Source organism: Homo sapiens, chromosome 4 (assembly GCF_000001405.40).
Source record: "Homo sapiens chromosome 4, GRCh38.p14 Primary Assembly".
NCBI lineage: Eukaryota > Metazoa > Chordata > Mammalia > Primates > Hominidae > Homo > Homo sapiens.
The window spans coordinates 7,880,851-7,897,188 of record NC_000004.12 but is presented as its reverse complement, the minus strand read 5'-3'; the positions used below and the strand labels follow the sequence as shown (position 1 = coordinate 7,897,188).

The 16,338-nt window shown below is 43.6% G+C and overlaps 1 protein-coding gene across 5 annotated transcripts in view, besides 2 other annotated features; it reads left to right on the top strand.

Moving 5' to 3' along the window:
* Positions 1 to 16,338, top strand: part of AFAP1 (actin filament associated protein 1) — a 181,149-nt gene that overhangs the window by 42,673 nt on the left and 122,138 nt on the right. Inside the window, exon 2 of one of the 5 annotated variants that reach the window (NM_001371091.1) lies at positions 1,347 to 2,124. The exons of the other annotated variants lie outside the window; for them this stretch is intronic. The gene's annotated coding sequence lies outside the window, so the exon portion shown is untranslated. The remainder of the gene's footprint in view (positions 1 to 1,346; positions 2,125 to 16,338) is intronic. 5 annotated transcript variants of the gene reach the window in all.
* Positions 2,988 to 3,181: a silencer, noted in NCBI's record as "fragment chr4:7895735-7895928 (GRCh37/hg19 assembly coordinates)". NCBI's record gives its function as "represses an EF-1alpha promoter that drives an FKBP-Casp9 reporter gene in an ReSE screen in HepG2 liver carcinoma cells {active_cell/tissue: HepG2}" and the evidence as "EXISTENCE:reporter gene assay evidence [ECO:0000049][PMID:32094911]".
* Positions 14,342 to 14,843: an enhancer, noted in NCBI's record as "H3K4me1 hESC enhancer chr4:7884073-7884574 (GRCh37/hg19 assembly coordinates)". NCBI's record gives its function as "activates a minimal SCP1, AML or CMV promoter by ChIP-STARR-seq in primed H9 embryonic stem cells {active_cell/tissue: H9 hESC(primed)}" and the evidence as "EXISTENCE:reporter gene assay evidence [ECO:0000049][PMID:30033119]".

Below are 16,338 nucleotides of genomic sequence, written 5' to 3'. Positions count from 1 at the left end.
TGACCCTCTGTAAGATGAGATTGAGCTCAGCCTACCCAAAGAAGGCAGTTGGAAATGGTTTGGAGTTGAGGGTAGAGGGCCAAACTGAAGATAAACATCATGGGATTGGAGGAAATCACCTTGGGAGTGGATAGAATTAGGAGAAGAAAAGAGTCTCTAGACCAAACATCTTCAGAGGTTGGGAAGAGAAGGGGAGCCAGCAGAGACCAGCCACGTAGGTGACAAAACCAAAGGAACTGTTTCCAGAGGAATGGGCCATAGATACACCGTGTCACACCGTGTCACATGCTGCCAGGCATCATGTGCTGCCGGGCGGTTGGGGGCTGGGGTGGGGAATGGGGACTGAGCATTGGGTGTGGGGGAAGTGAGGACTGAGCCCTGGGTGTGGGGGGAGTGAGGACTGAGCCCTGGGTGTGGGGGGGAATGAGGACTGAGCATTGGGTGTGGGGAAGTGAGGACTGAGCCCTGGGTGTGGGGGGAATGAGGACTGAGCCCTGGGTGTGTGGGGAGTGAGGACTGAGCCCTGGGTGTGGGGGGAGTGAGGACTGAGCCCTGGGTGTGTGGGGAGTGAGGACTGAGCCCTGGGTGTGGGGGGAGTGAGGACTGAGCCCTGGGTGTGTGGGGAGTGAGGACTGAGCCCTGGGTGTGGGGGGAGTGAGGACTGAGCCTTGATAGCTGGACTTGGCAACAGGGATGTCATCAAGTGACTTGAGAAGAGCTGTTTTACAGACCATGGGGTTGGGGAGGGAGTAGGCAGAGGTGGGAGGAAGGAAGTCGAGAGTGATCAGACCCCTCGTTGGAGGTGCTTGCTTTATTTTAGGAGGTTCGTCATGTCGGTGTTCAGTATTATTTAGTTTGTCTTGTAACTTCTGAGTCCTCATTCTGGGGAGCAGATTGACATTCCTTAGCTGGAAAACCAAAGGTGTATGTAAAAAACCTCTTTTAATGGTGGGTTATACTGTGTTTTAGGCATTACAAAGAAAATTTGCTCCATAGAAATTGGACCATTTGGATTAGTTCTATAAAAAATACTTTCTGAGCCAGGCATGGTGGCTGTAATCCCAGTTTGGGAGGCCGAGGCGGGCGGATCACCTGAAGTCGGGAGTTCGAGACCAGCCTGACCAACATGGAGAAACCCAGTCTCTACTAAAAGTACAAAAATTAGCCGGGTGTGGTGGCACATGCCTGTAATACCAGCTGCTCAGGAGGCTGAGGCAGGAGAATCGCTTCAACGTGGGAGGCACAGAGGTTGTGGTGAGCCAAGATCGCGCCACTGCACTCCAGCCTGGGCATAAGAGTGAAACTCCCGTCTTAAAAAAAAAAAAAAAAAAAAAAACTTTCTGAAGAACACACACTTCCATGTAGAAGTGGTAAAGTGTGAATGTGGTCTTTTTGCTTTTTTGAAGCAAAGATCACTGAGCTGCTAATTCCTAAAACCGCTGATATTTTTGGATGGCAGCTATTGTTCACTGAGCAGAGCTCGCTCTGTCATTCATTAGGTTTCTGTCCTTGAGTCCTGAGAGTTAGTTTTCTCACCTGTAAAATGATAGTATCTACTCTGGAGACATTATTTTAAAAAACTCGAGTGACTTGTTTGGAAAGTTGATTGGCATTGCATGAAACATGTAAGGGAGGCCAGATTTGGTTTCTTTGGGGTGGGGAATAGCTACAGATTTTGAGCACTTACTATGTGTTATGCTGGGGAGTAGACAAAGTTACAGATTATCTTTGGTTAATCCTCATAACCGCTCTTTAAAGTGGAGATTATCCTTTAAGAGCTTTTTTTAAAAAAATCTTTAACAGATAATAATTATACTGATAATGACCGTAGTAATTTATTGGAGACTTCTTACGAGCTAAGGACTGTGCTAAATTTAAATTCTTCACATAATGACATTTAAAGAACTGACCGACAAGCCTCTGATGATCCTCGTTTTTAGAGGTGAGGTAGCACAGCACTGTACTCAAGGCCATGCCTGGCAAGTGCTGGAGCAGAGTTCCAGCCTCAACCCTCCACCACCGAAGTCTGTGTTCATTCGCTGTGTCCAGATCGTTCTATCATCACATCCTCCTGGAGTCTGGATTTCATCCATTCCCTGTGGCAGCCCCAGCCCTGCGAAGCGGGTGTGTGAGACCAACGATGTTCTTAATTTGCTTCCATTAGCACACTGACATATGTTACCCAGAGCCTGGTGCCACCTGCCCCTCCGTCTGTACCCACATGCATAGCGGCGGAGCCATCTGCCTGGGGAGCCAGGGGCAGAGAGACAGCAGGCCTTCCAGCATCCCCCTCCCTGGAGATCAGCCCATGGCCCTTCCTTCCCCTCGTGGTTGGAGCTTCAATCCTAGGCCTCCTGTCAGGAGCCCTCGAGGCTTTTCCTCTTTGGCAGCAGAACCTAGGGCCCCCATCTTTCCAGAGATGACGGCAGCCAGATAACGCAAGAGCCTCATTTCAGACCTACCTCTTCATCGGTGGGTCACATGATGCGAAGGGCTGGTGAAGAGAAGGGTGGTGAAGTGGGTGTATAGAAGGAGCCAACACAGTTATGGTGGTTGGTGGGGCAGACACAGATGGACCAGGCCCCCTCTGTCTCCCTGATTCTGCATTCTGAAAGGAGCATGGTCACCCTTCACAAAGCGGGCTGGCCTCTCATAGCTAACAGAGTCCCGGGGTTGCCGCCGTCACCAGGCTTGTCTTGACATGTACGTCTCTTCTGCCTCAGAATTCACGCTCCTCTGTGCTAAATGCTTCTTCTGTGTTAGCGTCATATCCTTTGTCTTCAGGTTTTCCTTTTTCGAGTTTTGTCCCCTAAAGACCCAGAACAGAGGTAAGCAAGCTTTTTCTGTAACAGAGCAGAGAGTACATATTGTAGGCTTTAGACTCTTGTTGCGACACTCATCCCTGCTGTTGGAGTGTGAACACGGCTGTAGGTGATACATAAATGAATGGACGTGTCTGTGTTCCGATAAAACATTATTGACAAAAATAGGCTTTGGGCCAGGTGTGGGCTGCAGTCTCCCCTGCTGTGGATGGTTGAGGACATGGGTGAACCTGTGCACAGATTTAACCCCCACTGTTCCCAAGTCATTTCAGATATTTTTGAACTTGACAGTGTGAACGTCAGCCAGAGGCCAAGTGCAGCGTTTGGGGGCATTGTTCTTACTGTGCTGTCTCCCTTCTTGAGGTCTTTGCTGGTGATTTGAACTCAGCCTCTGTTGAAGCCTCCAGGGCTCGCTGAGGCTGTGGGTAGAGGCGAGGGAGGCGGCAGCGTTTGCATTATTTCCTTAAGGAGCATTATTGCTGGTTCCCTTCTACACTGGAAACACCCTCGCCCTGGTGTACCAAAGTCAGTGTGGCTTAGGGCCTGGCTTCTCAAAGTGCGACCCATGGCCAGCAGCGTTGACACCACCTGGGAGCATGTTAGAATGCAGATATCAGGCCCGTCCCAGAAGAGTGAGTCAGAATCTGCCTTTAACAAGAACCCCCGGTGGTGAGTTGTGTCCCCAGGAAAGGTTGAGAAGCACAGGTTTAGGGTGTTCCAAGCTGGAGGACAGAAAGTACTTTTTGAAAATCCTTTAACCCTTAACCTTTTTTTTTTTTTTTTTTTGAGACAGAGTCCCACTCTGTCGCCCAGGCTGAAGTGCAGTGGCGTGATCTCGGCTCACTGCAAGGTCCGCCTCCCAGGTTCACGCCATTCTCCTGCCTCAGCCTCCCAAGTAGCTGGGACTACAGGCGCCCGCCACCACGCCTGGCTAATTTTTTGTATTTTTTAGTAGAGACGGGGTTTCACCATGTTAGCCAGGATGGTCTGGATCTCCTAACGTCGTGATCCGCCCGCCTCGGCCTCCCAAAGTGTTGGGATTACAGGCGTGAGCCACCGCACCCAGCCAATCCTTAGCTTTTTTACGTTAAAAGTGTAATGTAACTTTAGAGCGTGAAGGCAGTTTTATGTCTTTTTAGACATCTTACAAGAGTCATGATTCAACATGATTTTCCTGATGGAAAGGGGATGTTGCTAGCCACTGATCTGGAATAGTGTAAAAAGCCATAGACCAGTTAGAAGAGACCAGGAGAAACGGGGTGGTTTCTGCCCCCCCGGCACCGGGGCTGGTAAAAATCCCTTGATTTCAGTCTTTGTGTCTTCTTCATTTTCTCATATATGTTATGAGATATACTGAGAGGTAAGAGTTCAAGTTCTTATGGTTGAAATGCTCCAGTTTATCTTTTTCTGGTTGTGTGTTTTGATGTTCTCTTGATGGTCTTTTTCTCCGTCTGCCCTCTGCCATCTCAAGGAGGGTATTTTCATCCGCCTTTTTCCTATAGGATCCCCCACCCCGCTGCTCCCCCACCACATCCCACGTTTGACTCATGGGCTGCAATTTCATCCCAGCTGGCTGAGGTCAGGGTGCAGTCTCAAATGCGTCATGGAATAGTTTGGGGTGTTACCAATGATGGTGGTTTGTTCGGTGGGAAAGGCTGAGTCTTGGGGGTTCGTGTTCTAGGCACCCTGGAAGCTGCTGTCTCCACTCTACCCACCAGATCCCGTGTTAATCAGGGTCAGCTTTTTATTTAAATCATGGCTGAGAGATGCATATAATCAAGTTCAAGTGCAAAAAGATGGAGGTGAATGGGGAATGTCTGTTCTCTTAGTTGCTGGACATGTGGCATCTCACAGCTGGCAGCATGCAGGTCCAATGATTCCCACCTCCCCGTTTCTGTGGGCTGCCCCTCCCCCAGTGTCTCCTTGGGGAATGCAGAGGTCTGTGAACTGCTCTCTCAGTCTGGAACCTCCCACTGCTCCTCTGCAGAGCCTGCTGTCCCTGTGGTCAGGAGCCCATCTGTCACTCTGGACATCTGCAGAGCCTTAGATGTTCTGATGGGGCAGTTGGCAGCTGGCCGGGTCATCTTTCATTCCATGTCGAGAGGCCTGTGTAGTTCTTAAGTGATGCTTCTGTACTTAGAAATGGTGCCGGAGCCTCTTTTGTCCCCTACTGAAATTTGCCCATCCCTGCAGTGATTTAGGAGAAATTTGCTCCTGACCTTCCTAGCCTGTGGGCTCTTCACCTCTCTAAACTTCATTTACTTCACCCATAAAGTGAACATAGTTTGCTTTTTTCTTTTTTTTCTTTTTTTGAGTCGGAATTTTGTTCTTGCTGCCCAGGCTGGAGTGCAATGGCACCTTCTTGGCTTACTGCAACCTCCGCTTCCCGGGTTCAAGCCATTCTCCTGCCTCAGCATCCTGAGTAGCTGGGATTACAAGTGCCTACCACCACACCCAGCTAATTTATTTTGTATTTTTAGTAGAGATGGGGTTTCACCATGTTGGCCACGCTGGTCTTGTGAACTCCTGACCCCAGGTGATCCACCCGCCTTGGCATCCCAAAGTGCTGGGATTATAGGTGTAAGCCACCACGCCCGGCCTTTTTTTTTTTTTTTTTTTTTTTAATGAGACCATATTTATAAGTTCAACCTTCCTTTTCTTTCCCCTTTGTTTTTTATTCCTTCCTTTGGATTAGAAGACTCACTCATGAATATCAAGATGTAACACAGCTTTATGATAATGAAGAGAATACAATTCATTAGAGCCTGTGATTAGGAATTCTGCTGTCTTCCTTATGAAAAACAGAATTAGCTCTTAATATGCTCAGCCAGTCTGATGCTATTATTACCTAAGTTTAATGCTGTTGTGTAGCAAAATCTCTTAAAGTTCTATTTACCTAGATCTAGTATTATCAGTTAGAATATATAGTGTTTCCTGTTGAATTTTACGTGACCTTGACCAGTTAGGTTTTCTCTCTGGTCCTTGGTTCTCTACCTCGGATGTGCTTCTTCAGCCCACAGAATCCTAGTCCGTGAAGACGGAGAACATTCTCCACCCTGAATTCACTCACAGCCCCTGCTGTCAGTCCTCTCCCAGGACACAGACCCGGGCAACCGCTCATCTGCTTCCTGGCCCTGCAGATTCCTTTGCCAGTTCTAGAATTTCACCAAAACAGAGTCAGATAGCATGCCTTTTGGGCTTGTGTTAGCTTCTTTTGCATGGCTTTTCTTGAGATTAATCTGAGTTATGTGTGTGAGTAGTTTATTTATTTTTTTTTTTGGTAATTTATTTTTCTTGCTGAAAAAGATTCCATTGTGTGAACATATTGCAATCTGTTTATCCACATGCTTATTAGTGGCTGCTTAGGCTGTGCTCAGTTTTGGGCTGTTATGAAGAAAGCTGCCATTGTTTTTATGTAGACACATGCAGTAATGTCTCTTAGGTAAATAGCCAGGAGTGGCATTACTGGATCTCATGGTACGTGTACATTTAAATTTACAAAAAACTGCCAAACTCTGCCTTCCCACCGGGAAAGTGGGAGGATTCTAGTTGCTCTCCTGTTTTGCTAAGGCTTGATATGATGAGTCATTTGAATTTTAATCATTCTGGTGGATGTATCAGGGCATCTCATTGTGATTTTAATTTGCATTAACCTGATGACTCATGATATTAGCATATTTTTATGTGCTTATTGGCCATTCCTGAAATGTCTGTAACCACTTTGCCCATTTTTTATTAGGTTGTTTGTCTTCATGTGTTTTTGGTATTCAGTGTGTTGTTACAAGTGCTGTGTCATGAAATGTGTATTGCAGATATTTTCTTCTGATTTTCTTAAAGATTAAAAAGTTCAATTTATTTTTTTCTTATATATTAGTACTTCTGCTGTAAGAAATCTCAGCCTATCTCCAGAGTCATAAATATTTTTGCCTATGTTTTCATTGAGACGTCTTATAGTTTTATCTTTTATGTTTAGGTCTGATCTATTTAAGGTAATTCTTGTATTTGGTACGACGTAAGGAGTAGAGTTTAGTTTTCCCCATACTGACATCCAGTTGTTCAGCAGCATTTGTTCCAAGGACTGTTTTTTTTCCCCATTGCATTATCTTGGCATCTTTGTCAAAAGTCAGTTGACCGTTTATGTGTGGGTGAATTTCTGGACTTTGTTCACCAATCTATCCTAACACCAATACCACACTGTATTGATAATTGTAGCTTTATTGTAAGCCTTGAAGCTAGGTAATAGAAGTGTTCCAACATTGTTCTTTTTTTCTCCACCTCGTTTGGCCAATTTGTGTTCTAGTTCTTTGTTCTTTTTGTTTTTGTCTATTTTAGAATTGGCTTCTTTTTTTTTTTTTTTTTTTTAACAAAAATTGCTCCTGGGATCTTGATTGAGATTGTGTTGCATCTATAGATGGATTTGGGGCAGAGTTATTATTTTAGCAGTAGGGATTCTTCTAAATATAGTATCTCTCTTTTTATTTATGGTCCTCCCACCAGACATAGACTGGTGTTTTCTTAACAGCATCTCATAGTTGTCAGTTTATAGATTGTTTACATACTTTGTTAAATTTATCCTAATATATTTAACATATTTTAATACTATTGGAAGTGGTACTAGGTTGCTTTTTTCCTTTTCTTTCATTTTTCAATTGTTCTTTTTTTAAAAAAAAAAAAAACGCTTCATTGAGGTACAGTTGATGTACAATAAACCTCACATGTTTAAAGAATAGTTTGATGAGTTTTAATCGTAAAGTGAGATAAAGAATATGAAAAACTTTAGTTTTTATATGTATGCCTTTTTTTTTTTCTTTTTTTTTTTTTTTTGGGATGGAGTTGCCCAGGCTGGAGTGCAGTGGTGCGATCTTGGCTCACTGCAACCTCCACCTCCTGGGTTCAAATGATTCTCCTGCCTCAGCCTCCTCTCCCGAGTAGCTGGGGCTACAGGCACGTGCCACCACGCCTGGCTAATTTTTTGTAATTTTAGTAGAGATGGGGTTTCACCATGTTAGCCAGGATGATCTGGATCTCCTGACCTCGTGATCCGTCCCCCTTGGCCTCCCAAAGTGCTGGGATTACAGGCAGATGCCTTTTATTAGATTTACTAGAAAACAACCCCCCTGTATTCCTCATTTTAGTATCTGCTAATATGGTGAATTATACTTAATGATTTTCCAGTGTTAAACCAACCTTGAATTCCAAGGGTAAACTCCATTTGGTCTTAATGTGTTATCCTTTTTGGATATTATTTAATTTAATTTGCTAAAAATTTTGTTAATGGCAGGCACAATGGCTCATGCCTGTAATCCCAGCATGTTGGGAGGCTGAGGCGGGCAGATCACTTGAGGTCAGGAGTTCGAGACCAGTCTGGCCAACATGGTGAAACCCCGTCTTTACTAAAAAATACAAACATTAGATGGGGGTGGTGGTGGGCACCTGTAATCCCAGCTACTTGGGAGGCTGAGTCTGGAGAGTCTCTTGAACTTGGGAGGCGGAGGTTGCAGTGAGCCGAGATCATGCCACTGCACTCCAGCCTGAGCAACAGAGTGAGACTCTGTTTCAAAAAACAACAACAACAAAAAAAAACTGTTAACAATTTTTCTGTCTGTGTTCATGAGGTGTGTTAGTCTGTTTTTGGTTCCTTGTAATGTCTTTTTTCTGAGTTATTTGCTGGCCCTTCCCTTTAATTTTCTGCAAGAGTTTGTAGAAAATTGTATTACCTCTCCTGAAATATTTGCTAGAATTCACTAGTGAAGCTGCCTGGGGCTGGAGTTTTCTTTAATATAGAGCTGTTCAGATAGTCTGTTTATTCTTTTCCGTTTCTGAAAGTTTGCATCTTTTAAGGAATTTGCCCATTTCATCCATGTTTTTGAATTTGTGGGCATAAAGCTATTCATAATATTTCCTTATGGTCATATTAATGTCTGTACCTGTGTGACCCATGTCCCCTCTCTCCTTACTGATCCTTGTAATAGGAGGAGTTCAGAATTTATTGGTGGGTAGCCTCCTAGCCACACATTCAGAGCAGGTGGAAGTGTATTTATAACAGAAGGGGTGAGGAGAGTTGCTGGGGAAGGAAGAGCAGTTAAGACACTTTGTGTTTTGGTGCGTTTAGGTGAATCATAATGTCCTTTCTGTAGATTAAATAACTTGTTTTTCTAAAATGTCACAATTTCATTTTTGAAAATCCAAGTTTTTGTGTTGAAACAAAGCATTCCTGAAATTAATAATTGTTCTTTATGGGGCTGGGCGTGGTGGCTCACGCCTGTAATCCCAGCACTTTGTGAGGCCGAGGTGGGCAGATAACTTGAGGCCAGGAATGAAAGACCAGCCTGGCCAACATGGTGAAACCATGTCACTACCAAAAATACAAAACTTAGCCGGGCGTGGTGGCGCGTGCCTGTAATCCCAGCTACTTGGGAGGCTGAGGCAGGAGTATCGCTTGAACCTGTGAGACAGAGGTTATGGTGAGCTGAGATTGTGCCACTGCACTCTAGCCTGGGCAATGGAGCGAGACTCCATCTCAAAAAAAAAAAAATTGTTCTTTATGAAATAAAAACAAATAGTATGACAATTTAAAAAACTATAATAGCATAATCGTACTAAGCCAGAAGAAAGACAAATTCCTCCTTTGTGTCTAAGAAAATACTGAAACCATGTGTTGCCCAGTAAGAGTATATGCGTACGTGAATATTCTGAGTTTAAGTTTGCAGTGCTGGCAGTGCTGATCCTTAAAATAGTAATATAAAAATGATTTAAAGCCTCATAAATGCTCATTCCAAATGGTTACATCATTATGCTATTTTTGGCTCAATTGGTTTTACATTTGAATACTTTTTAACATTATATTGGTGGCTTTGTTCCAACTTTGATTTATTTTAGCTTAATTGATTTGTCAGAGTAGAAAATCAGAGATTTTGAAAATTTGACATAAAATTGTTGGTTAGATGCATTTTCCTGTAACACCCATCGTCATTTCTGTGTGTTTATATTTATTTGCGTACTGCTTGTCTCTAACTTGGGATCACGTTTGCTTTGCTTATTATTGGGTACCCCACACTTAGATACCCAAATATTTTGCAGTGACTTAATTGTTCTTGTTTTTAGTGAATGTTCAAAATATGTGACAATAAATAGAGTGTAAATTTGCATTTCCTCTTTCCATTCTCCTGTTCCTATCATTCTTTGCCCTCTCTTGACTGGTGTGCCCCTTCCTACTCCAGTCTCCCACTCCACCAGTTCATCTTTAAAGCTGCCTCTGGAAGGGTCTTTACAAAAGTGGAGATCCATCAATGCCATTTTTTCTAGAAACCTTTTGTGATTCTTCCTTTCCTAGAATAAGGGTTCTGTGAGTCCAGGTATGTGTCTGCTGTTCTAGGTTGTGAGCCCTTGGATGTCAGGGGTAACATCTCACTTGTCTTTAAATTCTGAGTTCAGTGTTGTGAACATAGTGTTTAATAACTTGTTACTGAACTAAATTGACCTTCTGTAAATGGAAGGGAAACACTGTGCTTTCGATATCATATTTAAAGCTTTTGTTAGCAACCAGCCTGGTTTATGTCAATAACCTTCTCCCAGCCTAGGCATCAGGAGGTCTGGCTTCTGTAACCCATTATCACGTTCTGTATATTATTATGATAAGCAAAAAACATACCCAGATCTAGGTCCTGTTTTTTGCCTTCTACAGAACAATAGAAGGATATTTTCCATCAGGGCTTGTATGTCCATCCATTAATTAATCTGACTTTTAAGGGTCAGGCTAATTTCCCGAAGTAAAGTGTTCTGTGGAGTTTACACCAGTTCCTTTGAAGACTCCTTGCTGGCTCCTTAGAATTCAGAAAGGAACATTCCCAGGACCTAGAATATACACACATGCACAGATCCCTTTTATAAACACAGGCTTTCCTTTGGGATATTGAGAAATCTTTTAAAGATCCCACTTTCAGAGTTGAAACTGCACAGCGATTGTCATAGGTTCTGTTGAGACACTGGAGAGCTATAAATAGATTTGATTTGCTTTCCCTTTTTAGGTGCAAATTAAACTACTGTAAATTGAGTGTCCCCAAAGCCAGAGGTTTTTATTTACAGCAGTCCTTAGACGTTCATTGCAGCCTTGGTAGGCACATAACTGTTATTATCCCCACATTATACATTACGGAACTGGGAATCAAAGAAGTTTAATGACTTGTATTCAAAATCATCCAGTCGTTCAAATAATGGTCATCAAAAAGAATTTTAGATGCAGTCCAGCTGAGGGAAGCTTTCCAACCAGACAGTGCCTAAAGCTATGCTGCTTTTTCTGAGATTTCTTAGATCTACCTTTAAGCAGCGCATTTGGATGATCTGCGGAGGCCTGTGGAAATAATTGGAAGAGTCTGCATGGAGAGTCTGAGCTGTAACCCTATAAGGGAAAATATGCAAGGACCATGCTCGAACACAGCTCCTTTGCTTCAGTGCCACTCGAGTTCTGATACCCTTTGGAACACCGAGTATTCTCACACAGAGAGGACCCTGAACAGGTGGTGATCAACTTGCTCGAGAAAAGGAATTCATCAGAATTAGTCTTTCACCACGAATTTTTGTATGTTCTGAGACTATCACAAAAGACATGGTTACTAAGTATGAGAGGACAAGCCATGGCATCTTTCTCTGCAATTTTCTCTTTGAAGCAGATCTCAGGAATGTTGTCTATTATGGAGAACTGGAAACATAAAAGTGAATTAATTCAACAAACATATACTGAGTGTCATGTTCTTGTTTCCACATCAGGCATCGTGCTTGACATTCTGGGCAAAGAGAGAAGTCACACAGTGGTCCCTGTCTTCCAACTGTCTACTGGCTAGTGGAGGAGACAGACAAATTAGCCTGTTATTACAGCATAGCGGGAGAGAGGCGGTGATGGTCGGCCTGAGGCGGGGGAGACGCAGCTGAGTCTTGAAGTGTAGCACCTCAGTGAGACAGCCAGGTGAAGGAAGGTGTGGTAGTGATGTGTGTGTGGGACGACGCAGGGACACACAGGGTTAAGCATACCGGGCAGAGAGCAGTGGCACGTGCAGAGGCCTGGGGCAGAAGCAGGCGTGATATTTGTGGGAAACTGAGGGATTGAGAAGGCCTGAAGTGTGACACATAAGCAGAGTGGAAAGAGACAATCTAGAAAATAAGCACAGTCCAGGTTAATTAAGATTTTTATACAGGATCCGGAGAAGTCACTGAGAAGAGTGTAGCAAACCAGGGTGATTTTTCTGAAAAGCAGGTTGGTCATGGTTTGGGAACTGTTTCTTAATTGGAGCCTGAAATCTAGAGAGCGATGAGATGAGCTTTTGTGAAACAGTTCTCCAGCGTCCTGCCTTTGTCAAAGAAAGGTGTAACCATTGACCCAGCCTCTCCTCTGCAGAGAGTCAGCATAAAGCACAGAGGTGTGGTGGGCCAAGAAGTTTAGGGAATGCACCGTGTGTATGAGTTCACTGCTAGGCAGGGCAGGGGATAGGAGTCCGTAATCCATGTTTGTCATTCTCCAGGAGCTCATACTTTTTGTAGGCACATTGATCAGTCTTTTCTTTTTACGTCTGATTTTGAGTCAGAATTAGAAAATCTTTTTCCACACCCAGGTTATAAAAGAATTCATCTGTTTCTTCTAGAACTTGAGTTGTTTCATTTTTTTCTGTTTGGGTTTTCAAGTATCTTTAGAGTTTTTCTGGTGTACGTAAGGTAAGGAGTTTCATCTTTTCTTTTTCCCAAATAGTTACCAGTTGTCCCAACCCCAGTTATTAAGGTGACAATTTTTCTTATATTTCTGTGTGTATTTGGGTCTATTACTGGACTTTTTATTCTGTTCTATGGATCCGACTGGGAATTTAAATATGTTAGTATCAAATGGTTTTAATGATGAGCCTTTATTATTTTTAAATAGTTGGCAGGGCTGGCTATTCTCTCTTCATTGTTCTTAGACATCTCTGCATTCTTATTTTTTCCATATGAAATTTAGAATCAATTTGTTTAGTTCCAGAAACAAAACAAAACAAAATTTGTTGATATACGGGTTAGGCCTATCTTGCATTGCTATAAAGAAATACCTGAACTTGGGTAATTTCTAAAGAAAAGAGATTTAATTGGCTCATAGTTCTGCAGGCTTTACAAGCATGGTGCCGACATTTGCTCCGCTTTTGGGAAGGCCTCAGGAAGTTTCCAGTCATGGTGGAAGGTGAAGGGGGGAGCAGGTGTCTCACATGACAGAGCAGGAGCAAGAGAGGGAGTGGGGGAGTTGCCCCACACTTAAACAACCACTTTTCCTGAGTGGGACTCACTCACTATTGCAAGGACAGCACCAAGCCATGAGGGATCCACCCCCGTGACCCAACACCTCCCACCAGCCAGGCCCCATCCCCAACACTGGGGATTACATCTCAACATGAGATTTGGAGGGGACATCCAAATGATTTCAGTGTATTATTGCTATTGCTCGAAATATATTTGTTAACTTGGGGAGAATTGACATCTTTTTGATGTTAAGTTGTCCTATCCAAAGGCAAGGGGACATCTTTCCATTTGTTCACATTTACTTCTTCATCTTTCAATCAAGTTTTAAGTTTTCCCTATGTAAGTTTTGCGCATTTCTTGCTAAATTATTTAAAGTAGTTTACTTTTTTATTGTTTTATAAATGGGTGCTGATATTCCATGATATCTTCTAGCTATTTATTGTTTGATATAAAATAAGCATGCAGAAAGCTACAGTTTTCACGTCTCCTGCTTTACCAGGTTTACTTTCACATCAGCTGCCAATAGAAATAATTTTTTTTAAGTTTCTGATTGTTTTCTCTTTTCTTATTGCTTTGACTAACACTTCTCCTACAGTGTTAAAAAGTAGTGGGGGAAATGGGCCTCTTTGACTTGTTTCTGACCCTACTGGGAATTCTTGAAGTGTTTCCTCATTAAATAAGATGCTGTTTTTTTGGGTGTGGGTGTTTTAATCTTAGTACATGTATTTTATCAAGTTAAGTGCCTATCAATTCCAAGTGTATTGACTTAAAAATATCAGGAATGATTATTAAATTTTGTTGAAGGCTTTTTCATGATCTGTGGAACAATTGCATTATCTTCTCATTAGATAATAATATGGTGAATATATCAGTAGATTTTCTTTCTGTCTTTCCTCCTCCTCCTCTTTTTTTTTTTTTTTTTTTTTTGAGATAGGGTTTCACTCTGTTGCCCAGGCTGGAGTGCAGTGATGCGCTTATGGCTCACCGTAACCTCAACCTCCCTGGGCTCAGGTGATCCTCCTGCCTCAGCCTCCTAAGTAGCTGAGACTACAGGTGTGTGCCATCACATCTGGCTAATTTTTGTATTTTTTATAGAGATGGGGTTTTACCATGTTGTCTGGGCTGGTCTCAAACTCGCTGGCTCAAGCAATCTGCCTGACTAGGCCTCCCAGAGTGCTGGGATTACAGGTGTGAGTCACTGTGCCTGGCCTATTAGTAGATTTTCTAATATTGAATCACCTTTGCATTTCTTTTTGAGATGGAGTCTTGCTCTGTCACCAGGCTGGAGTGCAGTGGCTCTATCTCGGCTCACTGCAGCCTCCGCCTCCCAGGTTCAAGCGATTCTCCTGCCTCAGCCTCCTGAGTAGCTGGGATTACAAGCACGTGCCACCACGCCCTGCTAATTTTTGTATTTTTAGTAGAGACAGGGTTTCGCCATGTTGGCCAGGATGGTCTTGATCTCCTGACCTTGTGCTCTGCCTGCCTCGGCCTTCCAAAGTGCTGAGATGACAGGTGTGAGCCACCGCACCCACCCTGCATTTCTAGAGTGAATCTCATTTGGTAAGGGCATGGTAGTAATGTGTAGGCTTCTGTTTGCTAAAATTTTATTTAGGATATTTGCACTGATGTAAGGAAAAGTGGTCTTTGGTTTTCTTTTTTGTGCTATCTCTATTCGGTTTAGATATCACATTTATATTTGCTTCAAAAAAAAAAAAAGAATTTGGTTATGTTCTGTGTATTTTATCCTCTGGAACAATTTATGCAGTAGCCTTGGTGTTTAAGGTTTGGTAGAATTCCCCTGTAAAACTACCTGGGTCTGGTGTTTTTTTGTTTTTTGTTTTTTTGTGAGGGTAATTCTGGTAAATTATTTTTTTCTTACGAAATTTCTTATGAAATGAATTATCTATTTAACCTAGTTTCAAGCGTATCTGCATAGAGTTGCACAGAGGAGTGTGTCATGACTTTTCTTGTGGAGGGTGTGGTACTTACTTTAGGACTTCATAGTTTTAGAGGACAGGAGGTATGGGGTCGTGTTCATTGACTGCATTCATGGATCCCGTGTCTTAAAGTGAAGTTCCAACAAGATGAACATGTGCTAATAATGACGGTTGTAGTTACCACTGATGAAATGCTTGGCTGTGCATGTGTGTTAGCTCATTTAATCCTCATGATGATGCTGAGATATATAATATCCATCTCGCTTTAAGGATGAGATAATTTGGGGGGGCTACTTACCCAAGGTCACACAACTAGGAAGAATCAGCTGGGATGTGGATCCAGGTTTATGTGGTGACAGAGTCCAGGTTTCTTTTACTTTTTCTTTTTTTTTTTTGAGATGGAGTCTCACTCTGTCGCCCAGGCTGAAGTGCAGTGGCGTGATCTTGGCACACTGCAATCCACCACCCGGATTCAAGTGATTCTCCTGCCTTGGTCTCCTGAGTAGCTGGGACTACAGGCGTGTGCCACCATGCCCGGCTAATTTTTGTATTTTTAGTAGAGATGGAGTTTCGCCATCTTAGCCAGGCTAATCTCGAACTCCTGACCTCAGGTGATCTGCCCACCTTGGCCTCCCAAAGTGTTGGGATTACAGGTGGGAGCCACCGCGCCTGGCCCAGAGTCCGGGTTTCTAAGGAGCAGTGGAGGATGAGGGCCAAATGAGTGGCATTGGCAGGGATAGAATGATCAGGGACGGCTTCACCAAGAGGTGGGATGTGAGCTGTGCTCATTGGCATTGGCAGAATTCAGAGGGGTGAGGAGAGGTCAGGGAGGTGATGCCATGTGGGGGTGCCTGGCAGGAGAGGTAGCCTTGACTCAAGTGGCGGGTGCTATCAGAGGGTCACCCCATGAGGGCCAGCAGGTTGGAATGCTGGGGGATGAGTGGTGTAGACTAGACAGGGGAGCGGGGACGTACAGAGGGAGCAGGAAAATTGGGAAAATGCACATACTGTTCCCACCCCCCAATTTAGATTAGATAATGGGGAGTTGCCTGGGTCTAGGTCCTGGGAGTTTCTATAGCGGGTTAGAAATTTGAAGGGAAGAACCATATGGGAAGGATCACAGATAAAAATAGAAAGGAAATCAAAAGGCCACCAGCAACTGTGTTGGTTGTAGCAAGGCCCTTGAGTGTAATTCAGGATGCAAATAGCAATAGGTGTTTTGCACATCAGTAAAGTGTGAAGCCTGTGGGGAATATGGATGTGGCAGCCTCTGCAGAGCCTGTCGCCCGTGGCAACTTTCCCCGTGTTTCTCAGATGCAGCAGGA